Source organism: Homo sapiens, chromosome 1 (genome assembly GCF_000001405.40).
Source record: "Homo sapiens chromosome 1, GRCh38.p14 Primary Assembly".
Classification (NCBI taxonomy): Eukaryota; Metazoa; Chordata; class Mammalia; order Primates; family Hominidae; genus Homo; species Homo sapiens.
The window spans coordinates 169545270-169570625 of record NC_000001.11 but is presented as its reverse complement, the minus strand read 5'-3'; the positions used below and the strand labels follow the sequence as shown (position 1 = coordinate 169570625).

The following is a 25356-nucleotide window of genomic DNA, read 5'->3' as shown; positions in this document are numbered from 1 at the left end:
GTCAATGAACTACCTTCCTTAGGAGTACTTGCATTAGCACTTAATCTTTGGCTTGAGGAAAAACAATGAAGCATTAACTGTGGCACTGAGATTTCTTCCAAAGTGAATTTGGCAAGACTCTGGGTGAGGTAGTGGGAACAGGAGTTTCTCCTATGTTCTTAAAATCATACAGTGACATAGTGAACAACCACTTCACCTACTTATGAGGCTTCTAGACGACTGCATCAGAAGTTCAGCAATGTAAAGAAGAAGGGGGAGAAACCTCAAAATATCAAAATGTCACATGCAGGTTTCATTTCAAATAAGGGAGGAGGTAAGAATTGTAGACTTTGGACCCTACCTGGGCTGTTTGCACAGTGAATGAACCTTGCAACACTATCCCTCTTCCTTTACTGTTTATTTGTCCCTACATTCCCTACAGCCAGCAATTATTTATGAGCAATTGCTTAAAATGCTCCCACAGCTTTCACTGGAGACATGATTATTGGCATATAATATTGCCTCTGGTCCTATGAATCTAAGAAAGGTAAATACATATTGGTAGGGAAAGTAAAATTTTACCTTGGAAATGAGATGCAAACCTAGTAAGCAGATAGTATCTTTTATGGTAAAAGACAAGCCTTATAAGTTGATTTTATTATGCCCTCTGCATTAAAATAAAACATCTCCTCCTCCATGTCTGACACTCACCCTCACCTATAGCCTCCCTCTGTGGTTTGAGCTATTTTTTTGGGAGTGGGGATAAACTAACTGCATGCTGAGCCAGTTACATGAGAATCCAGATTCCTCTATCTCAGAGGTAGATATTTGAGAGATAGGTGGTAGGGGGTTAAGATAGTATTACACTGGCTTGAGAAACCACAACAGAACATAAGAGAACTCTGGATAACCCTTTTTGACAGAATGGACAAACGGTGATTTGTAAAAATGCTTGTAAGGACATTTCCTTTAATAATGTATTTAATAAGACTGTCTTAGATCAGGGAATAAAGTATCTGCAACTGTAACTAATCACTTAAAAGCTGTCACTAAAGGGTTTCAATTTGAGGTTAAATTTTCAGAAACTCTGTAACTAGCATGCATCAAATTGACTTCAATGCTGCACCTTTGAGCAAAGTTTGTTGTTCAGTAAAATTTTCAAAGTCGTTTTGGTCAATTACCTTTAAAAAGCTTGTTTCATGGAGAATTTAATATTATTCTTTTCTTTTAGTTATATTCTCATATTTTAAATATATGAGTTGCATATGAATGTGATGTCACAAAATTAGTTCTATAATATATAGCCATCTGCTGGTAAGCCAGCTCTCCAAATAAAACACGTTTTCTGCCAGACATTGTTCGTTGTATCTAAGTGTTGCCAAATTCTCTATACAAAAATTTGCTCTTCTAGATTTTTCCAAAACATTCCAATGCTTGACTTAATGTAGGTGATTACATTTTTTCACTTCTCATCTGAATATTTTGGCCTTATGTAGAGACTTCCTTGAGTATATGATAAACACCTGAAACAAACTATAACGGCTATAGTTTGTATATTTAATAAATCACAAAAATGTGGATCCCTTTTCCAAAGAGACTTGCAAGTCCTGTGCAATGAAATCAGCTCTTTATAAAACGTCAGCATTGATTCGCCCATTGCCTACATTATAGCTTCTAAAAGAATATTCTGAATCTTTGAATGTAGTGAAGCATTCACTAAGTTTATTAACTTAGGAGAGGAAAAGAGTTGTTCACAAAAATAAGTAACAAGGGAAGAGTTACTGAGTGAGCACCCTAATGAGTAACCAAAAAGGCTCTTTATGTAACTTCACTTTCCCAAAGCTTGTATGCACCATTTTTCATTTTTAAAAAATACTGAGAGCCTTTGGCAAGTAATTAGTACATCATGACAAGAATAAATACAATACAAAGCTGACTATCGACTGAGCAGGAAATGAACAGAACTGAGTAAATATAAATGAAGAGCTACCCTTGTGTAAAGATTTTATTCCAGCAAGCAGCTGAACAAGGACTTCTTGTGCTCTAGCACAATAGTTGTCCCTGTCCATTTCTCTTCTTTTCAGTTTAGAGCTTAATTTTTTTTATTTTGATTACAAAGTCAAAATCACATTCACCAAAACTGCATCTCACAAATGCTTCCTCTTAATAGCTGTTTGTATTTTATACTTTATATTAATGTATGTTGTAAAATCAAAGATACAACAAACCTGTTTTATTCTAGACTAAAGGTAAAATAATTTGAAGTGAAAAGAATAAAAGCATTGATAAAATTACACCCCAATTGTCTCATTAGCCATCTCACTCAGTGTAATTATAGAATATATCCTATGTACAAGTCTATATCATTCACTGTTTCAAGATGCTCATAATTCAACTTTTAGTAGTATACTAAACTTAATTAACATCATTCATTTAATTATTTGAAATTCATCTTATATGTAACTGACAGGCGAATGTGAAATTCTGAGTAATTTAGTTTGATCAATTAGACAGACATTAATTTGTGTGACTAGAGTAACCTTTCATTATCTATCTCAAAATATCATGTACACAAGTATATACAATAATTTTTTAAGCCCAGTATGTGTTAAAATAAATCTAGGTGTGAAACATTGATTGTTTACAGATAGGTTCAATATTGTTAGAAAATCAGTCACCCTGCTATACCTAGCACAAGTGTTATAGCATCTTGGGCAATTTTTAGATACTTACATTGGTTGGTTCTCATTCCAGATTGACAGTGTGTTCTAATTGTAGCCCTAGAAGAAATCTAGAGGTCAAACCTATCACAATTAGGGCACCAACATGTACCCTAGAGTTAACTAGGCAGAGCCCCTCAGGGGCCCAGGCCCTGTCTTCTTTACATTTGTACTCTGGCATTTAGCACAGAGCCTGGAACCTAGTGGATGATGATGGTCATGATCATGATGATATTAATCATTACTGAACTAAACTGAGGGGCCGAGGACTGATTAGAAAGTAAGGACTATGCATTATTTTTCCCTTGCTTTAAAATTATTGATTTTGCTGATAATTTTGAGCAGGTACTTTGTCTTACTTATTACCAAAAAAAAAAAAAAAAAGTACTTTTACCAAAAAAGTCTTATTTACTTTCATCGCCTTTGGAATAGATACATCACTACAATGGATTGGAAGTTTGTGTCCTCCAAAAATTCACATACTGAAATCTAACCTCCAGTGTGATGGCATTAGCAGGTGGGGCCTTTGGGAGATTTTTTTTTATTATACTTTAAGTTTTAGGGTACATGTGCACATTGTGCAGGTTAGTTACATATGTATACATGTGCCATGCTGGTGCGCTGCACCCACTAACTCGTCATCTAGCATTAGGTATATCTCCCAATGCTATCCCTCCCCCCTCCTTTGGGAGATTTTTAGGTAATGAGGATGGAGCCCTCATGATGAGATTAGTGCCCTTATAAAAGGGACCCTCTCACTCACCCTCTTTCTACCATGTGAGGATACAAGGAGAAGATGGCAGTCTACAACCTGGAAGAGACCCTGCACCAGAACCCAACCATGCTGGCACCCTGATTTTAAACTTCCAGCCTCCAGAACTGTGAGGAAGAAGTGTCCGTTGTTTATAAGCCACTCAATCCAGGGTACTTTGTTAACAGCAACCCAAACTAAGAAAATCACCAATTTCTATCTTACTCACATGTGTTACCAGAACTCAAGCACACTTAAGATCTATCTTATCTAAAGTAGAACATAAAGGAAAGAGGCTGTATTAATTGCAACATGACTGGGAAAGAAAATACTTAACCAAAATGTGAACATGTATTCCCACAGGCTATCAGAGCATTTGTTAGGAGCCAGAAATTTTACAAATATTTTCCAGTCTTCATAACCCATCAAAAAGGATAAAGTTATCTCTAGAAAAAGGATTATATTATCTTAAATTATAAATGAAAAAACTGAGGTTAAAGGGACTTCAAGAAACCTTCCCAAGTTCCCACAGTTAGCAAATGATACAACCACCAAGATATTTTCAACTCTGACCCTGAAGTTCAAGTGCTTTCTCCCACTATCTAGCAGAAAAAAGTATCGTTAACCATATAGTCTCACAAATACTGAATTACAAATGGCGATGAGTGCTGTCAAAAAACCAACAACAAACAAACAGGTATCACAATCAGAGATCAAGAAGGGTGTAAGATGATATTTGATCTGACATCTGAAGAATGAGCACACATTTACCCAGAAAAATAAAGGGAGGAAGAACTTCAAAAGTTATCTCCTACCCTGCAAAGAATATAATGTTTTGCCCTTAGGGGAGCTTGTGAAGGCAGTGGAAAGAATATCATTTTCTACTATAGAAACCCCATGTGATGTTTTAACAGTTGAAACAGTGGAAGCTGCCTGTCCAGAAACATCATTTTTCAACTTTATGAGGCCATGTAGCAAGAAGCATTGAAGAAGGGCTGTCATGCTTGATTCAAGGTAGATGGTGCAGCTCATCAACTAGCCATGCTAATTTCAGTTAATAGACAAGTTCTGACCTGAGAGGGCAACTCTCCTTATCAGTCCTGTTTGTGCTTTGTTACCAAAGCTCTTTTGTAATCTTTCACAGATAATGCTTCCTGCTTATTAGTGGAGACTTTCTCCATAAACTTTTTTTCTTTTATAGACTAGAATTATGTTATAACTTACAGGAAGTGACTTAAGCTTTTATCATTTCTCAGCTCTTGACAGTTTTATTATCAAAGTGAAAGTACAGCCTAGAGTAAATATTAGTTATTAGTGTCAAGCTATCCTTTGGGGTGTGTTGGGGGAAGACACAACAAAGTCCACTTTATGCTAGCGCAAAGTTCACAAACTCAGATGCCTATAGTAGCCAGATAAGTAGTTCAGTGAACAAAATTGGTCCAGTAAGAACTGATCATCAGAAAGCAGAAAAGGGCAGCTAAGATCCAGATCCAACAAAATTCTGTGCAGGAGTTTGGTCCTGTTGTTAACCAGATCTCCAGGTTTTTGTTTTTTAAAGAGAAACCAGTAATCCAAATTCTTATATAATTTCTCCGGATGTTTAATGTTGGCATTTAATCTATTTTAACATTACGCAATCATAACAACACACAGCCATGAGCTTTGACTTGTTGACCTAGGCTGTAGCCCATAGGACCTTAAATTTTAGGAGTTTAATAAATATTCACTGAGCATCTTCTTCATGTTCATGTTCCATGCTTCTCTAGGTACCTATGGAAGGCACCAGAGACACTAAGACAAATACAATCCAGCACTTTTCCTTGAGGAACTCACACTTGGGTGACCAAAATGTGCAGGACACAAATACTTATGATCTAGTAGAAGAAAATGAATTAGTCACATAATCTCACAGGCATTTAATTACAAATTGTGATGGGTGCTGTAAAAGAAAAAAATGTGTATCAGAATTGGAGATAAAGGTAGAAGTGAACAGATATTCAAGGTGATGTCTGAATGATGAGCACATATTTATCAAAAGGAAGACGGGAGGAAGAGCACTCTAGGCAGAGGGAATGGCATCTGCAAAGACCCTGAGGTAGGACAGAACTTGGATGTCTGGGGAACTGACAGGGGACCCAAGGGACAAGGAGCCCATAGTAAACAAGAGAAAAGACGTATGATAAGACTGAAGAGAGAAGTAGAGGTAAATCATACATGGACTTGTGGTCCACGTTAAGGACTTTATGCAAGAAGTAAATCTAGATATACCTACTCAACTTATGGTTTCCATGCTCAGAACCTCATGAGATACATTGCACGTTACTGTAGTACCTGAATCCTTCATTGCTATTGAATGGATGTGCCTTATTTTCCACTCCCACCTGGAGAATCCAAACATATGCTGATGCCATGCAAACTCATGCAAAGCGTTTTGAGTGGAATAGATTTTCCACAGTTGGGATGGGGAAAGGTACAATTAAAGAAGGGAAGCTGACATTGCTGTAATGTAAAAAAATATTTTATATGGAAATTTAGCATCTCAGACTTTGGCTTCAGAACATAAGGAACCAGATTTACCCTTTTTCTCAACAACTAGACAGGCAGACAAAACATATAAAACAGAAGTTTTCAGACATCGAATGACAGACAACTCAAGACAGTAAAAGAAGAGTAACAAACCAGATGTGCCCTATGAGCACCTAAGCTTACTGCTTGAAGAGTGTTTCCAGGGAACAGCACAAGCAGGGAGAACCCAGACAGAGTCTCTATGGGTTGAGGAAATAGAGTTTGGACTTCGGAGAAGCTCAAATGGCTAGAATTTGTGATTTTAGGGCAGAGTCCTGCAGAGGACAGTATAATCACAGAGAAAGAGCTCTAGAGAATCTACAGAGAGGTTTTGTCAAGTTGAATACTGATCTGCACATACATGTGAGGAAAGTACTGAGGGTAAGAAAAATGTCACTTGAAAGGAACAGGTGGAACAGTCCCTGGACCTTACTCAGGGCCGGTAATCGTTTATGTTCCTACCATCAAACATAGAAAGACCTCCTAATAAATGAGCACTGGATAGAATTGTCAGAAGGATTTAGAAACAGTGGGTGGATAAAATTAGACTACAGGCTGCTGAGGAGGCAACAGAATAAAAAACAAGATTTGATTTCAAGTATCTTAACTGTGAATAAAACTCAATACTAGTTAACAAGAATGCAACAAACAACAATGTAAATTCACAATGTTAATAAAAATAAACAAGCATTAGAAGAAGCAGAAAGAGATGACTCATAACCAAGAAAAAACTCAACAGATTGAGAAGTGAAAGAGAGAATAGAAGCAGCAGGCAGAGACAGTAAGACAGCTATCATAAATCTTCTCAATATGTTCCAGAAAGCAGAGAAAAGCATGAGCATGATGAAGATAGAGAATATAAATATGCATACACAGAACTTCTGTAGATGAATACAATTGTTGACATGAAAAGTAAAAAATAAAGCATAGAAAAGAAAGGTAAAAAATAAAGGATAAAAAAATATATTATAAACTGAAGGATACCACTAATACAACAAACACTGGATGAAATTAATAGCACATTAGACACTGTGAAAGGAAATAGTAGAAAATATTAATACATTGCAATAGAAACTGCAAAGTGAAATACAGAGATTAAAAAGGCTGAAGAAAGTGAACAGAGCATCAGTGAACTGTGGGACCATATCAAGTGATCTAACATATGTGTAATTGGATCCCAGAAGTAGCAGGAACAGAAAAAGTATTTGAAGAAATAATGACTGAAAAATTCCCAAATGTAATGTAAACTACAAACCAACAGATTCAAGATGTTTGACAAAACTAAGAAGAAGGAACATGAAGAAAACCACACCAAGCCACATCACTATCAAGTTGCTGGAAACCAGTGATAAAGAGAAAATATTGGAAGCAGTGAGAGATAAAAACACACACCACATACAGGGGAACAAAACCAAGAAATGATAGCAGACTTATCGTTAGAAACTATGCACACCAGAAGACAATTAGGGACATCTTTAAAGTGTTGGGAGGGTAGAAGATAGGGGAATCTGTCTGTTTAGTATTCTATACCAAGTCAAAAAGTCTTTTTTAAATGAAGGCAAAATAAAGAGTGTTTTAGACATACAAATGCAGAAAGAATTTCTCACTAACAGAGCAGAAAAAAATGTTAAAGGAACTCCTTTAGATAGAAGAAATATTATGTCAGAGAGACATTTAGATTCATAAGAAGGAATGAAAAGTTCCAGAAGTTGATAAATATAGAGAAATTTTTTCCTCGTTTTAATCTATTAAAAAGGCAATTGATTATCTAAATGTTAAAGCAAAATAGTAACAATTTATTGTGGGGTATATTATGTATATATAAATAAAATGTATGACAATAGCACAAAGGCTGGGAGGGAAGAAATGGAAATATATTATTGCAAGGTTCTTACAAGTGAAATAGTATAATATTATTTGAAGGAAGTTTGTGACAAGTTAAAAATGTACTATATATTGTAAACGGAAGGGCACCACTAAGAAAACAAAGCTAAGAAGGCAACAATGGAGATTAAACATCACTAACTATACTCAATCCAAAAGAAAACAGAAAGGAAGGGGAAAAGGAATAAAGACCAGATAGACAAATAGAAAATAAATATAAAGATGGCAGTTTTAAATTCAACCATATCATCAATTACATTAAAAGTAAATGGAAAGAACACTACAATTAAGAAACAAATAAGATTGAATAAAAAAGCAATGCTAAACTGTATGCAGAATTTAAGAAATCCACTTTAATGAGAGAGACAAAGATAGGTAAAAAATAAAGGATAGAAAATTATATACCATACCAGCTAACACTAATCCAACACAAAAGGGTGTGTAATGATGATTCCATTGATATGACATTACAGAAAAGCCAAATTATAGTGAAATAAAGCAGATTAGTGGTTGTCTGGGCCCAGAGGGCATTGGCTACAAATGGCATGAAGAAATGTTTTGGAATGATGGAACTCTTCTCTATCTTGATTGGAACTATAGCTATAAGACTGGGTAATTGTTTTAATCAAAGCTCAGCAAATATTATACTTAAAAGTGGTAAATGTTATTATATGCAAATTATACCTCAATGAGGATAATGAAAGGAAGAAAGAGAGGGAAGGAGGGTGGGGAATAGGGAAGGAAGAAGACAAAGAAAGGAAGAAAGGAGAAAAGAAAAGAAACTAGGAAAGGAAAAAGAAAAGAAAGGGAAGAGAAAGGAAGGGGAGGGAAAGGATTAATCATTTCAGTTTTCAAAAAGTGTAGTTGCTTCAGTAAGAGGAGTTTTATTGGCCTTTTACCCCATCATGTAAAACATTTCAGGCTTTTTTCCCCAGATCCTTGTTGTCTGCCTACATCCACACTGATGTTCTCACCTTCTTCTCGTAAAGAATTTATCAAGTTATTGTACCAAACAAAAATAACTGCATCCCAAAGAGAAATTCTGTCACCAGCTGATGATAGGGAATCTTTCACCTAATTAAATGAGGAATTCCTCAGGCAGAGGAAACTGTTCATTCCACTTGGCTCTCTATGGCACTCACCTCTCCCCTTCCTGACCTCACTTGCTCCATTTTATTATTGAAAACCTCACCCAACCCTCTACACTTCTTTTAATATTGAGTATCTCAGTTCCTTCTCTTCAATAAAGAAGACCAATTTCTTCATCCTCTCCCTCTCCTATCAGTAGGGAAAGTCCAATATACATGGAGGTGTTAATGATGTGTCTTTGGGTGCACAAAGTACAAAGTAAGACATCTAAGTTTCAGGGGATGGACACATTTCATATTCATACAGACAACCAGCCTGCATAGGGGAGTTAGACGCTGTGGCTCGGGGGAAAAAATTGAGATAATCAGATGGCTAAGATGAAATAAAGAGATAAAACAAAGCTGAGGATCACAGCAGTTGGAAAGAAGATCTGAAATAGCAAAACAAAATAATACATAAACAGCTCTGACTATCCTCCCATCTCATGTTAATAGGCTAAGTATGTCTTATTAAACACCACAAAGAAGATATCACCCATTCTTATATTCTGAGATGGTTTACTAATCAAAGGCGATTCAATTCTCTGATTATATTTAAATAATAATTGTTCAGGTACCCTGGAAAATTAACTTGCTAAACTTTAATTTACAAATAACATTTGTTATTCTTAAGATCACCATGTTATCAAAGCCTTTGTAAGTACATGAGCATAGAAATGGGCATATGTGAATCTTTCCAAATAATAAAAGTTCACTATTGAAGGACATATGCATCTCCAGAGAACTCATCTTAGCTATCCCCAGATTTGAGAGTGGTGAAAACGCAATCCTCAGAAACTGCCCACATGTCTTGATGGCTGTTACTCCTCCAGGTGCTTCTTACCTTGACCACACATTCCCTGCGGAGAAGATGGACGACGCTGTGGCTCCAGGCCGAGAATACACCTATGAATGGAGTATCAGTGAGGACAGTGGACCCACCCATGATGACCCTCCATGCCTCACACACATCTATTACTCCCATGAAAATCTGATCGAGGATTTCAACTCGGGGCTGATTGGGCCCCTGCTTATCTGTAAAAAAGGTAAGAACACCCCCACCAAAAGATTCAACAACTAAATGTTGGAATGGTCAGGAGTTCTGTCATGGGACAAAGCTTGGGAGCATCTTGGTAACTTCTTGTACATCAAGCAGAGGAAGACGGCACGGAGACCAGATCATTGTTTGACAAGAGAAAAAAACACCTGCTATTTCAGGGTGTGGATCCACCTCTGTTTCTTCTCATTCCTCCTTCATCTCAGTCCTTAAGGTTCTCCCAGGCAAATTCCTGTTTGAGAGTATGTTCTGATGTCATGCTTGTATGATCTGTAACATTTACCTCAAGGCCAAAGTCTTTTAGAAAGTATACAGTAGCCTATACTCTGCTGAAAGAGCTCTTGGAAAGAACTTTGGCTAACATGTTTGACATATCTGAGGTTTGGGCTGGTAATTTGCTCTATAAACACGTGAAATGCCAGCTTCCTTTCTTACAAACAAGTTGAAAACTTTGGGTGGTAGGTTTCAAACACACTCAAGTGACTTTACAAGAACTTTTATTGGCTGGGCTTCTTAGGAGCAAGCTTGGATTTTCATTTTATCCCATGAGAATCCAGCCCATCTTTCATTAAAACAAACAACCACAGTGAGCCACAGCATGGGAAATAACGTGATGGACTCACCATCTGCCTATACATACACGCTCAGGCCATACCTACATACATGCCCAATGTATTTACTCATTATACAAAGACTTTTTTTCCATTTCCTGGTATATATAAGATACTGTGATGGTACTGAAAAAAACCTTAAAACTTACAAAAGACTCTTCTTGCATTTTACCATCAGCAGCATGTTTTTCTCATAGTGAGAATGGATTAATGCTGATACTTCCACCCAATTATCTAATGCCCCCTTTCATATACAAATAAGATGACAGCATTAAACTTGGGGCATGATGCTTTTACCAACTGAGCTAACGTATCTATATACTCTTCTATTGAGACTGGGGGAAATGGATACTTGTACAGAGTCTTGAGAGTCACCAAATGTTTTCTTCCCAAGCTGGATGAAATAAAGCCTGTTCCCCAAAGCAAGAAGGTATCAAAGAAGACAGTGTGGCACCAGATTTTAAATAACCCTAGAACCATTATTACTTGATAAATATGCTATTTTAAAAAATAAGAATTTCTTCAAGTTGAAATCATTATGGTTGATTGCTTGCCCTAAACTCTTTGCTATCCAGGAAAGCTAATGAGCGTCTTCTATCTGCAGTGCTACTGAAAACATGTCTTTCCTTTCATAGGGACCCTAACTGAGGGTGGGACACAGAAGACGTTTGACAAGCAAATCGTGCTACTATTTGCTGTGTTTGATGAAAGCAAGAGCTGGAGCCAGTCATCATCCCTAATGTACACAGTCAATGGATATGTGAATGGGACAATGCCAGGTAACACGAGGGCTGTGTACCATTAAACAACAGTAAAATCATTAGTAATTTTTCGGTCCTGTTTTCTTCAAAGCACTAGAGAAGTTGACCATACTCACTGTTTTGCAACTCCCTATCAAGAAGGAAATATTTTCTCTTTTTTTTTTTAAACAGGAAATAGAAGAGACAAATTAGAAGCTAGAGAAGAAATGTGCAGCCTTGTTAGGTATAGTGACCTGAGTAGGTTTCACCTTGGCCTGTACTTTGAATAAGACCTTAAGGTATCAGCTCAGCCACTCTCTCCGAGTTCTGCAGTTCCTCTATATGATGACCATGGCTTCTTCAAGGACAAGCCCTAGCAGGAAGGATCAGCAGGAAGATTGCAGTAAAGATGAACAGATTAGGAGTAATCCTCAACACACAAAAAAAACCAGCATTTCAAAAGGTGACAGAAGAGTAATATTCAGTGGCATCTAGAATATTTTCTCTTTCCATTTGCATTTGGGCACTTATGAGAAGGCAAAATCATAGCAATCGTTAAGAGAAAAAATAACTAATTCCCACTTAGACCACATCTCTTCTATTTCTCTCTGGTAGAACTGACCTACAACTAAAGATCCAGGGTATATGATACTAGCCTGAGGGAAAAACATTAAAAAATTAAAATGCCACTTTACTAAATAAACCATATTTCAAAACACTAAACTTCTTAGAGGTTATTCTCTAATGCCATCTGAAAATCACAAATAGCTTCACTTACTAAAACACAAATATTGTTAAGAGTTGAGATCTGGGTAGTGTTTTTAAATTGTATTCTATTTCATTTGACTACATTTTCCACTTGGTTTTCTGAAAATATACTCATATGACTCTCAATGTTGATCCCAAGTTCCAATACTAGGAGCTTGTAAAAACTGGGGCTTAGTTAACTGACCTCGACCTTAGATAATCTGAGTTCAGACTTCAGATTATCAGACTACCTTCTGTGGCCCTGGATAAATTAGTTGTCTCAATGTGCTTACTTACAAAAGTGGACTAACCATTTATCCTAACATCTATTTCCTGGCAGAGTGAACAATCTGTATAAGTATATGGATGCCAAGAAAAGCAAAACCATATGCACAAAAATAAAAATAAATTGATCTGAGCTTAGAGTTTACGAATTTATAGTTCCCAAAAGAATAATTGGGGGTAAATGGGACAAGGTAGGGAAAGACCATCAGTAGAAACTAAGAATAGTAAACATTTGTAAAAACCCTCTGCCTTATAAAGCAGAATAAATTGAATACATATGATAAATGCTAACACAGATATGTTAATTGCTGAACTCAATATAAGCATTTCTTTGGCATGGATAAACGCTTCCACCAAAGCCTCCTAGTGATGCAAGGAATCCTGGCTTTGTTGCAATGGTCTCCTAAAAAAAACAAGCCTTTGTGTGGGTAAGGAACTGATTCTCAGGCCCATTATCTAGTATCTAGTGATTATGTATCTGAGATGTAAAACAGAAACCTAAAAGCCAAGGATGGAGTCTCCCCACAGAGCAAATGAGCATTTTCCCAGTGACTGTAGGAGCAAAGAAGGAGCAAAACTAAGTTTTTATATTCAGTTATCACTACTCCTTCCATGAAAAGCTCCCAATGGCTCAGCATAATGAGGACTTGTACACTGCATTTTAAGGAGAGTGTGTAACCCCAAAGTGATTTCGTTGACTTGTCATTAAAACAATCAAAAAGTAAGTAAAAATAACAATTGAAAATCCTCATATCATCTTCACATCTTCTTCCCTTAGGCAGAGCTTCGACCACTACAGCTAGAGAGCTGAGAGGATTAAGTGCTTGAACTCAGCCCTATTGGCGGTTCTGGTGATTTGACTCCCTCCAGCTGAGATCAGACTGGGGTGACCAAACATTCCATTTTGCCGTGGACTTTTTACCAGTTCTAATAGTTAAAGTCCTGAATCTTGGGAAACCCCTCAGACCAGAACAGTCGGTTACCTTCTTGGTTCCCTTCTTGGCCTAATCCTTTAGCAATCCCTGTGTTTTTGAGTTCACATCCACCATCTCTAAGCTCTGTTGTTACCTGTATAATGCCATTTATCACAATGAGTTGTCACTGCTTGTTTGCTGGTCACTCAGATGTCTGCTTTTGCAGGGCACAAACTACAACTGGAGTGTCTGTTCCCTCAAAGCTTTATACAATGCCTGACACACAGCAGGTGCTCAATACACTTGGTGAGTGAATGTTTGATCACAGAGTACTTGACTGAATGCTTATTTTGGCCTGTGTCTCTCCCTCTTTCTCAGATATAACAGTTTGTGCCCATGACCACATCAGCTGGCATCTGCTGGGAATGAGCTCGGGGCCAGAATTATTCTCCATTCATTTCAACGGCCAGGTCCTGGAGCAGAACCATCATAAGGTCTCAGCCATCACCCTTGTCAGTGCTACATCCACTACCGCAAATATGACTGTGGGCCCAGAGGGAAAGTGGATCATATCTTCTCTCACCCCAAAACATTTGCAAGGCAAGAAACTCTCCTGACAGTCTTGCTTCTCAATGCAGAATCCTTTCTTCCCATGCACTAACTCCCTCTTTCTCCCTTGCCCTTTCAAGCCACCTGCACCGCAGACAAACTTTCCTCAGTTCCTAACAACCAAACTTAGATATTTTGCTCTTAGATTTATAACTTGCTCTTTGGGGATGGAGAAAGCGAAGGAATTGGCAAAGGTTTTTTTTTTTTTTTTAATTAAGCAAAAGCTAAAGAGATCTCTAACTTCCTCGAAAGAAGAAAAGAGGAAGAAAACAAATGCATACATAGAGATATTCTTTCTTCGGGTTACTTCATATGCAAAAAAGACCTAGATGCTAGCACAAGACAAACTGCAAATTTACAGAAGCACTAAGTTGTAGAAAGTGTAAAAGTTTAGCATGAAAACATTAACCTTTACAGTGGGATGAACACAAAGTCTAGCACAGAGAGGAACTCAATGAATGTGTGTTGAATGGATCATACATGGCATATACTGAGGGGTGAGCTCCAAAGAACACTGGGGAATTCAGGTGGGAAAATAAATCAACCCACGTTATGTGGTATCGTGTAAACAAAATAACTGATTGTTCTACTACACATTTTTGCTTTAAAACTGTTGAGATTAGAGTTCATATAAATGGAGACTAAAATCTAAGGAAATGATATCACAATAGGAAATCATTTTGTTACCAAAATAATGTATAAGCAACACATATAAGGAAGAGATACTTCATGAGATCATTTCTGTTTCTTTTCACACGAGTAGTCAAAATTATATTTGAAGTAATAAAACCATCATGATATCCGTGGAAGATAGAGTTCCCAATAATATTAAAACAACAATGTAACTTTTGTTTCTTTGTTGAGGATAAGTGCATTATGTATTGTTATTAATATTTAATTTTTAACAACAATTTTATTAGGTACTGGTGCTACTTCATTTTATAGATTAAGGGACAGATGACAGAAAAATGAGAATTTAACAAGACTTAATTCATAAGGTCTTAAGAAGTTAAAAATTATTAGAAATTTGCCTGCTCAAGAAGAAATAAAGGGAATCTTTCCAAATTTTTTCCCTAACCCCTCCTCCTTTTCCCCCTTTTAAAATTCTTGCCTTTTCTGGATGCCACTTAAAGAGTTCCAAACTAAAATGTTCAAAAATTGCCTGAGCATTACTTTCACTCTTATTATATTAATATAAACCTTCCACAAGTTGATTTAAAGGATATGCATTTCAATCAACCATAATTTCTTCTCTTGAGTTATTTCATTGTCTTTCTGTCCTAACTCAGCTGGGATGCAGGCTTACATTGACATTAAAAACTGCCCAAAGAAAACCAGGAATCTTAAGAAAATAACTCGTGAGCAGAGGCGGCACATGAAGAGGTGGGAATACTTCATTGCTGCAGAGGAAGTCATTTGGGACTATGCACCTGTAATACCAGCGAATATGGACAAGTGAGTTGTTGGGGTTCATACCACTGGGCAAAGGTTCAAGACACATTCCATAGGGTCCTAGATGTTTGGGGTGAAATGTAAGTTCACAGCTCTCAAGGGGACACATGTATTGGTTTCTATTCAAGTCTTTTTGTAAAAATTAATCTTGAATTACCCCCAAATCACCAAAGAAATTCAGCCTAATAATAATAAAAATGACAACAGCAGCTACCTTTTGTTGAATGTTTGCCATTGCCAAGCACTGTATTGTCCCTTTCTGAGAGCTTCGCTTCAACTCTACAAACTAGATACTGCTCTTATTTCTTTTTATAGATGAGGAAATGGGTCTGAGAGATTAAGAGATTTGGAAATTCAAATAGCTCTTAAACCCTTGAAAAGTTACTCAAATTCACTCATAATAACAGAAATGCAAATTAAACTTCATGGGAATACTACTTTTATCTATCACATTCACAAGTCCAGATGACATCATCTGTTGACAAGGCTGTGAGAAAAAAGAACTATCATATATTGTTCGTGGAAGATTAAATTGGTAAAAGGATTCTGAAGAATAACTTGGCAATATGTATCAAAATTCTAAATGCATATACCCTTTGACTCAGCTATCTCACTCTGGAAATCTAACTATACAGATACACTTGTTCACAGGTGAAATGATGTATGTACAACATATTCACTGTTGCAACGTTAGTAGTAGTAAGACTGGAAACAACCCAAAATGTCCATCAGTAGAAAACTAGTTTAATAAATTAGGATACATTCATACAATGGAATACTAAGCATCAAAAAAAGAGGATGCAAACACTCTGTATGTACTAATACAAAAAGTTCTCCAAGATATGTTATTAAATTAAAAAGCTGGGATGTAGTATAGCGTGTATACATAGCTGCCTTTTGTTAAAGGAGTGAAAGGGATAAGAATATTTATATTTTCTTATTTGTAAGACATAAAGGTATTCTGGAATTACACGCATGAAATTAATATATGGCTACCTAGAAAATTCAGGGAGGGTAGGGAGGTCATTTTGAGAGTCATCAGAGAAAAGTGAGAGTTTTCACTGTAATAAAAATTATGTGAATGTATTTTCTATTAAAAACAATTAAACTAGGAAAAAGAACAAAAAAAATTTGGCCAAGATTATAGAATTGTTGACAGAACTGAGATAGGAATCCAGGAGTGTTTGGCAACAGTCAGTGCTTTCCACTGGGAAAAATAAATTCATAAAATGATATTCCATCTTAAAAGATTGCTGGGTTAAATGATATTTCTGACTTTAGGTCTTGGAGGAACTGCCATACTGTCTTCCACAATGGCTGAATTAATTTACATTCCACCAAGAGTGTATAAGTGTTCCTTTCTCTCCATGACCTTGCCAGCATCTCTTCTTTCTTGACTTTTCAATCATCGCCATTCTGACTGGCATGAGAGGGCATCTCATTGCGTTTTTCTTTCTTTTTTTGAGACGGAGTCTCGCTCTGTCGCCCAGGCTGGAGTGCAGTGGCGCAATCTCTGCTCACTGCAAGCTCCGCCTCCCAGGCTCACGCCATTCTCCTGCCTCAGCCTCCCGAGTAGCTGAGACTACAGGGGCCCGCCAACACAAATACAAAATACAAAAAATATAATTTTTTGTATTTTTAGTAGAGATGGGGTTTCACCGTGTTAGCCAGGATGGTCTCGATCTCCTGACCTCGTGATTTGCCCGCCTCGGCCTCCCAAAGTGCTGAGAGTACAGGCGTGAGCCACCGCGCCCGGCCTCATTGTGGTTTTGATTTGCATTTCTCTCATGAACACTGATGTTGAGCTTTTTAAAATGTGCTTTTTGGCCGCATGTAGTTGCTTTTGCAAACTAAGGTAATAAAGAGGGCAGGGGAAAAGTGGTTCATGTTTCTGCTCCCAAAGTATTTATCCCAGTAGCTACAAAAGATGGGTGAAGGAGGTTGCTTTTCAGTCAGCTCAGAGAATTGGCTAGATGGTGGAAGAGATAGCCCAATAGCACAGAACTATGATTAACAATGCTAGTAAATGTTTCCTGGGGTTGGAAGTTGCTTTTAGGGATTAAGAAATACCTTTAAAACCAAAAAGGCTATCATAGAATAAGTGATAGGACAGACTTTAGAAAAATTCCTAGTATCTTTTCAGCCAGTATAGGCCTTTTCCCAGAGATATCAAATGTCTGCTGTAGCAATAAGAATGACAGGAAGATCTAAGTAGCTGCTTCTAACCAGTTACCTATGACTTTTATCAGTGATGCAGGAGACAAATCAGAAGTTTCCAGTTTTCCAACTAGACAGAAAACATAAGGACTTTGCAAACTACACTAAGAAATTTTTAGAGAACTAGTATGTTAGCTAATCTAAGAGCAGAATGTTTAAGCACAAGGGTTTCCCCATCCTACCGAGATCTCTATTTGAGAAAGTGGTTTAATTTTTTTTTACTTCACTTTAAGAAAATACAGGTCTCAGCATTTGGATAATTTCTCAAACCAAATTGGAAAACATTATAAGAAAGTTATGTACACACAGTACGAAGATGAGTCCTTCACCAAACATACAGTGAATCCCAATATGAAAGAAGATGGGATTTTGGGTCCTATTATCAGAGCCCAGGTCAGAGACACACTCAAAGTAAGTAACACAAATACAGAATCATGGGAGAAATTACATAGTAAAATATTATGGAGTACCTGGTTATTTTTTAATTTTAAAAGAAAAAGATGCTCATATAATTTTAAATTCAAATGCAACTTTTAGTTTTTATTTAGTATTTGTATTTATTTACAGCTTACTCAGTAATACAAAGGATCTGAGACAGTTTCTCAAGTTATAAAGGCATAAAACAAGGAGTCTATGTAATTGGGATAGAATACGGGGACAAAGAAAATAAAGCCACAGATAAGTAGATACCATGTGACCCTGTAAGGCTGTCTTCAAATTTTGTCCTAAGCTTTATGGCAGTCAGTGTAAAAAAGGAAATATGTCAGGGTGAAGTTTACATCATCTACAAAAAGAAAGCACCATTTATCCTGATGTTAAGATCTAAGAGGAACTTCTTTAATGAGTTCTACAAAAGAGAGTGCTGAGTGATACAGTAGATGGCATCCTTGATAAAATTCTTATAACCAGCATAATAGATTAAAAGTTGCATAAAATAATAGATTAAAAGTTGCATTAAAATATTTCTCATTATAGCTAAGATATAACAGTAAACACAATTGAATAGAAACAATTTTTACTCATTTTTTAATGTAGTCTAGGTATGCAGCTCTCTAATGGTTGGACTCTGATGAAGGTAAACTCCATGTATCAAGAGCACGGAGTTTTCCTCAGACAATTCTCCTTAAATGTCATGTCACTTCACCAAGATAGATAAGAATTGGACAGCAGAGAATTAAAGGTTGCAATCTTTGACAAAATCCTAGAGTGTAGTTAATCTACAGACAAAGGATGATCCAAAGGCTTTGACAATCAACCAAATAGAAGATAGGATTAAGGTTCTCTTTTGCAGATTAAAGAGCCTAACTAGGACTCCTGTGTGTTTTATGCACCTGACAAGGTCTATTCTGTTCATTTAAAATAGCCAAAGGACAAAAGCAGTTTTTTTTCTCCATGCCTCTTTCCCTTCTTCCATTTCTGATCCCTTTTATGTGCTCTCAGCAAGTGTAGACATACCTTATTAAAAGTTCAGGATCTGGCTATTTGTCTGTGCCTCTCAAGCAAGTAGCTTTTCCCCCCCACCAAGGGTCTTACTCTGTCACCCAGGCTGGAGTGCAGTGGTGTGATCATGGCTCACTGCAACCTCCACTTCCTGGGCTCAGGCGATTCTCGCACCTCAGCCTCTCAAGTAGCTGGGACTACAGGCACACGCCCCAACGCCTGGCTAATTTTTGTATTTTTTTGTAGAGATGAGGTTTCACCATGTTGCCCAGGCTGGTCTTGAACTCCTGAGCTCAAGTGATCCACCTGCTTCAGCCTCCCAAAGTGCTGGGGTTACAGGTTTGAGCCACTGAACCTAGCTGAGAAGATGACTTCAAAGACAGTGTCCTAAAAAATCTACCGGGCAGGGGAAGGGGATCATGGTCTAGAGATGAGAAGCAGATTCAAAATGAGATGTGGCCCAAGCTGAAAAGAGAAGGGCAGGGGAAGGAGGACTTGCTTGGAGAGAGTGATACTGTGAGGAAAACGTCACTTCTCCTAACCTATCCTCTAAAGTCAGACTTCTCTTTCCATTTTCCACCTTAATGTGTGAGTGAAACACTCTCTCCAATGCTCCTGCCAAGTGATGAGGGGAGGTTACTGCTCAGATAAACAGATCTAATTTTCCTACTGTGTGTACACATGTATACACACACACCATCCAAAAGGTGAATATGCAAAGCTAGTATCTTATATTATTTGTCATGATCAACCTTAAATCCTAGAATAAATTTGATTTAACTTTGTAGATCGTGTTCAAAAATATGGCCAGCCGCCCCTATAGCATTTACCCTCATGGAGTGACCTTCTCGCCTTATGAAGATGAAGTCAACTCTTCTTTCACCTCAGGTTTGAATCTTTCACTTCTACTGAATCCAACTAGTAACTTCTGAGAGGCTGCCACATTTTTCTGCTATTCTCCTTGCCCGGTGGTGTCACTACTGCAGTCAGGTAGTATACATGTAGGAGTATCCTAAAAATCACAGCCAAACCCTTCTCACTTCAGGAGTTTTGTCTCTTAGTGGTAACAAAATATGGTGTCTTTTATTAGTGTCATAGTGGCCTCTAGTGGAGCATTATCTAATGGCTACATGTTATCCAGGTTCCAAGTAGAATATTTAAAGAATTCAATTGAACAATGAGAACATTTAGACACAGGATGGGGAACATCACACACCGGGGCCTGTCGGGGGGGGGGGGTGGGGGGCGGGGGGAGGGATAGCATTAGGAGATATACCTAATGTTAATGACAAGTTAATGGGTGCAGCACACCAACATGACACATGTATACATATGTAACAAACCTGCACGTTGTGCACATGTACCCTAGAACTTAAAGTATAATTTAAAAAAAATAAAAATAAAAGAATTCCTTTTGCAATATTAATTGGTTCCAGCGAAAGCTTATTTATTTATTTATTATCATGAAATAACTTTGCAAATGAAAACAATTTTGAATATATTTTCTTTCAGGCAGGAACAACACCATGATCAGAGCAGTTCAACCAGGGGAAACCTATACTTATAAGTGGAACATCTTAGAGTTTGATGAACCCACAGAAAATGATGCCCAGTGCTTAACAAGACCATACTACAGTGACGTGGACATCATGAGAGACATCGCCTCTGGGCTAATAGGACTACTTCTAATCTGTAAGAGCAGATCCCTGGACAGGCGAGGAATACAGGTATTTTGTCCTTGAAGTAACCTTTCAGAAATTCTGAGAATTTCTTCTGGCTAGAACATGTTAGGTCTCCTGGCTAAATAATGGGGCATTTCCTTCAAGAGAACAGTAATTGTCAAGTAGTCCTTTTTAGCACCAGTGTGATAACATTTATTCTTTTTTTTTTTTTGTCTTGTCTATTTTTATCAGTACCATCACTGCCGAAGGCAAGTCTAGAGTGTGATAACATATTTTGTCTTAGTTTCAAATTCCAGGTCTGTTGGTATTGGATGTGTTGAGCAAGTTGATTAGCCTTTCCTAATTTCTTCCTTTTATCAAATGGGTAATAACCCTCCTAAAAATGTTACAGGTCTGTTTGGGGGTTCAGTGAGATACCATCTGGTAAAAGTATAAAGCTCTTTACCAGTCTTTGCTATTTTTAGAGACCTGCAATAGGGAGACAGAGGAGAGATTCTCTGAAAGCAACCAAATTTAGAGACATAGTTCCTAGTGAAATTGGACCCAGATTATGGCCCATCTCTGTTGAGACTAAAGTATACAGAAGAATGTGAACAAAGATACTGAATTTCTGAGTTTGTCTTCATTGAAGAATTGTAGTCTCATATTATTAAACTAAAATTCCCAATTATGCTAAACTGTAACCAAAGAGGTCTTATCTCAAGGCATACAAAATAAACATATGCCTAGAAAAAGCAGAAATGAATTTCTGGACATATGGAAGATCCTGATTTATTGAGCTAGGAAAGGAAACAGGTAGTAGAAGCATAAGGCTTTTCTATTGCAACCTTCTCTTTCATCCTTTGCACTTATTCAGAGCATATTCAGTCAATCATTCATGTTGAAAGGTGTGCAATTACAGAGATAGACAGACTTTCAGCTGCCATAGCGAAATGAGATTTTTCTTTTGGGATTTGTTTTTTTTTTTTTTTTCTTTTGAGACAGAGTCTCACTCTGTCACCCAGGCTGGAGAGCAGTGGCACCATTTTAGATCACTGCAACCTCTGCCTCCTGGGTTCAAGTGATTCTCCTGCCTCAGTCTCTTGAGTAGCTGGGATTACAGGCGCCCGCCACCACCCCCATGTAATTTTTGTATTTTTTAGTAGAGACAGGGTTTCACCATGTTGGCTAGGCTGGTCTCGAACTCCTGACCTAAGGTGTTCCACCTGCCTCAGCCTCCCAAAGTGCTGGTATTACAGGTGTGAGCCACTGTGCCCGGCTCTTTTGGGATATTTTAATCTCTGAATTTTCTTATCTGTTCTGTTTGCTTTTGCATATTACCTTTAGCTCTAACAAGTGCTGTGTACACAATGGACTCTCATAAATGCCTGAATTATATGGCTTCAGTAGTTCCAAGAACTATGTCACTTTGGTTTCTGAGAACTCAGTGGTGTAGATAATTTGCTGCAATGTTAATGACTGAATACAGCACTTTTTTTTCTTTTTTTTTTACTCTTAAGTTCAGGGGTACTTATGTGCAGGATGTGCAGGTTTGTTACATAGGTAAACATGTGTCATGGAGGTCTGTTGTACTTACTACTTCATCACCCAGGTATTAAGCCTAGTATCCATTAGTTATTTTTTCTGATCCTCTCCCTCTTTCCACCCTCCATCCTCTGATAGGCCCCAGTATGTATTGTTCCCTTCTATGTGTCCATGTGTTCTCATAATTTAGCTTTCACTTGTAAGTGAAAACATGCAGTATGTGGTTTTCTGTTCTTGCGTTAACTTGCTTAGAATAATGGCCTCCAGCTCCATCCATGTCCCTGCAAAGGACATAATCTTGTTCTTTTTGATGGTCACATAGTATTCTATGGTGTATATGTACCATATTTTCTTCATCCAGTCTGTCATTGATGGGCATTTGGGTTGATTTCATGTCTTTGCTATTGTGAAGAGTGCGAAAATGAACATACGCATGCATGTGTCTTTATAACAGAATGATTTATATTCCTTTGGGTACATACCAAGTAATGGAATTGCTGGGTTCAAAGGTATTTCTGACTTTAGGTCTTTGAGGACTCACCATGGTATCTTCCACAATGGTTGAACTAATTTACACTCCCACCAAGAGTGTATAAGTGTTCCTTTTTCTCCACAACCTTGCCAACATCTGTTAGTTTTTGACTTTTTAATAATAGCCATTCTTATTGGTGCGAGATGGTATCTCATTGTGGTTTTGATTTGCATTTCTCTAATGATCAGTGATGTTGAGCGTTTTTTTCATATGCTCTTTGGCCACATGTGTGTCTTCTTTTGAAAAGTGTCTGTTCCTGTCCTTGGCCTACTTTTTAATGGGGCTGTTTGTTTTTTTCTTGTAAATTTAAGTTCCTTATAAATGCTCCATATTAGACCTTTGCCAGATGCATAGTTTGCAAAAATTTTCTCCCATTCTGAATGTTGTCTGTTTACTCTCTTGATAGTTTCTTTTGCTGTGCAGGAGCTCTTTATTTCAATTAAATCCCATTTGACAATTTTTGCTTTTGTTGCTATTGCTTTTGGCATGTTCGTCATGAAAGCTTTGCCCATCCCTATGTCCCAAATAATATTGCCTAGGTTGTCTTCCAGGGTTTTTGTAGTTTGGGGTTTTACGTTTAAGTGTGTTGTTGTTGTTTTTTGTTTGTTTGTTTCTGTTATTTTTGAGATGGAGTCTCGTTCTGTTGCCCAGGCTGGAGTGCAGTGGTACGATCTCAGCTCACTGCAACCTCTGCCTCCCATGTTCAGGTGATTCTCCTGCCTCGGCCCCTCGGCCTCCCGAGTAGCTGGGATTACAGGCATAAGCCACGATGCCTGGCTAATTTTCTTTTCTTTTCTTTTCTTTTCTTTTTTTTTTTTTTTTTAGTAGAGACGGGTTTTGCCATGTTGACCAGACTGGTCTTCAACTCCTGACCTCAGGTGATCCACCCGCCTTGGCCTCCCAAAGTGCTGGTATTACAGGCGTGAGCCACCGCGCCAGGCCTACATTTAAGTCTTTAATCCATCTTGAGTTAATTTTTGTATATGATGTAAGAAAGGGGTCCAGTTTCAATTTTCTGCCTACGGCTAGCCAGTTTTCCCAGAACCATTTATGGAATAGAGAATCCTTTCCCTATTGCTTGCTTTTGTCACAGATCAGATAGTTGTAGGTGCGCAGCCTTATTTCTGAGTTCTCTATTCTGTTCCATTGGTCTATGCGTCTGTTCTTGTACCAGTACTATACTGTTTTGTCCTCCAGAGGGCAGCAGACATCGAACAGCAGGCTGTGTTTGCTGTGTTTGATGAGAACAAAAGCTGGTACCTTGAGGACAACATCAACAAGTTTTGTGAAAATCCTGATGAGGTGAAACGTGATGACCCCAAGTTTTATGAATCAAACATCATGAGCAGTAAGTCAGAGTACTATTTTTGTTCATCAGTTTTTCATTCCTGTGGTTGAAATATGACTGTGCCTAGAGTCAGAGACATGGATTAAAATCTACTCGCTAAGGGGCACCTCCAATCCTCACTTCCAGTCCAAAGACTTGGTGATGAAATCCGTGGGTGACATCATAGCAACATTTTTAAGCAAGAGGTCAAAGGCTCACATCCTTAGAAATGCGTTTGATCTTCTATTCCAAGCGTGTGTGTGTGTGTGTGTGTGTGTGTGTACACAGACATACTCTGCGTGGTGAGGAAAAGGGTGAGAGAGTAGGACTAATGGAAGGTGTTATAGTCCATGTCAATAGTATCCTAGACTGAGTTCAGGGTGAATATATGGCTAGGACAGAAAGAAGGCAAGTAATCCAAAGATGGATTGACACATCAAAGTAGAGCAAAATGAGTATAGGGACCCAAGAGTCTTGGAAAGGCATGCATGAAGACATTTCAAGTGATCAGTAAGATTTTCAGAACAAAAGGAATTCCCTGAATGAGGGTTCCGGCATTTGCTGCAGTTCTAAAGTTCAGTGGCCAAAAGCACTGCCATGGCAGTCTGAGAGAAATGTCACTGAGCCAGCTGGAAGCAAACTTCTCCACAACAGCCAGGGTCCCCCTACTGATCCTCAGAGTCTAGAGTCATGGTAATCACCTTCTCTAGTAGGTAATCACACATGTGAGGATGATTTCTGCATGTTCTGTTCATATAGCTTCAGATGACTGACAGCTAGGGATTATCAGAGCTGACAGGTGCCAGGTCAAATAATTCAAACAGAAAATTACTCTCAGCTTTCTTTGCATAACTTCCTTTTGGCAGTGAATCTATCATAGTTCTAGACCAGTGCTGTCCAATAGAAACTACGTATGAGCTACATGCGTAATTTAAAATTTTCTGATAGCAACATTAAAAAGTAAAGAGAAATAGGTGACATTAATTTTAGTAATATGTTTTACTTAACTCAGTATATCCTGAATATTATCATTTCAACATGTAACCAATATAAAAATTAATGAGACTTACTTTATTACTAAGTCTTTGAAATTCAATGTATATTTTATACTCACAGCATATCTCAGTCCAGTCTACCCATATTTCAAGTGCTCGATAACCACTTGTAGCCAGTGGCTACCATATTGAACAATG

The 25356-nt window shown here is 37.7% G+C and overlaps 1 protein-coding gene across 1 annotated transcript in view; it reads left to right on the top strand.

Moving 5' to 3' along the window:
• F5 (coagulation factor V) overlaps nt 1-25356 on the top strand; it is a 74531-nt gene that overhangs the window by 15856 nt on the left and 33319 nt on the right. Inside the window, exons 4-11 of the mRNA NM_000130.5 lie at nt 9860-10072; nt 11330-11473; nt 13759-13980; nt 15279-15444; nt 17892-18069; nt 19887-19986; nt 20611-20825; nt 24034-24184. Of these exons, the coding sequence (NP_000121.2) occupies nt 9860-10072; nt 11330-11473; nt 13759-13980; nt 15279-15444; nt 17892-18069; nt 19887-19986; nt 20611-20825; nt 24034-24184 (1389 nt within the window). The remainder of the gene's footprint in view (nt 1-9859; nt 10073-11329; nt 11474-13758; nt 13981-15278; nt 15445-17891; nt 18070-19886; nt 19987-20610; nt 20826-24033; nt 24185-25356) is intronic.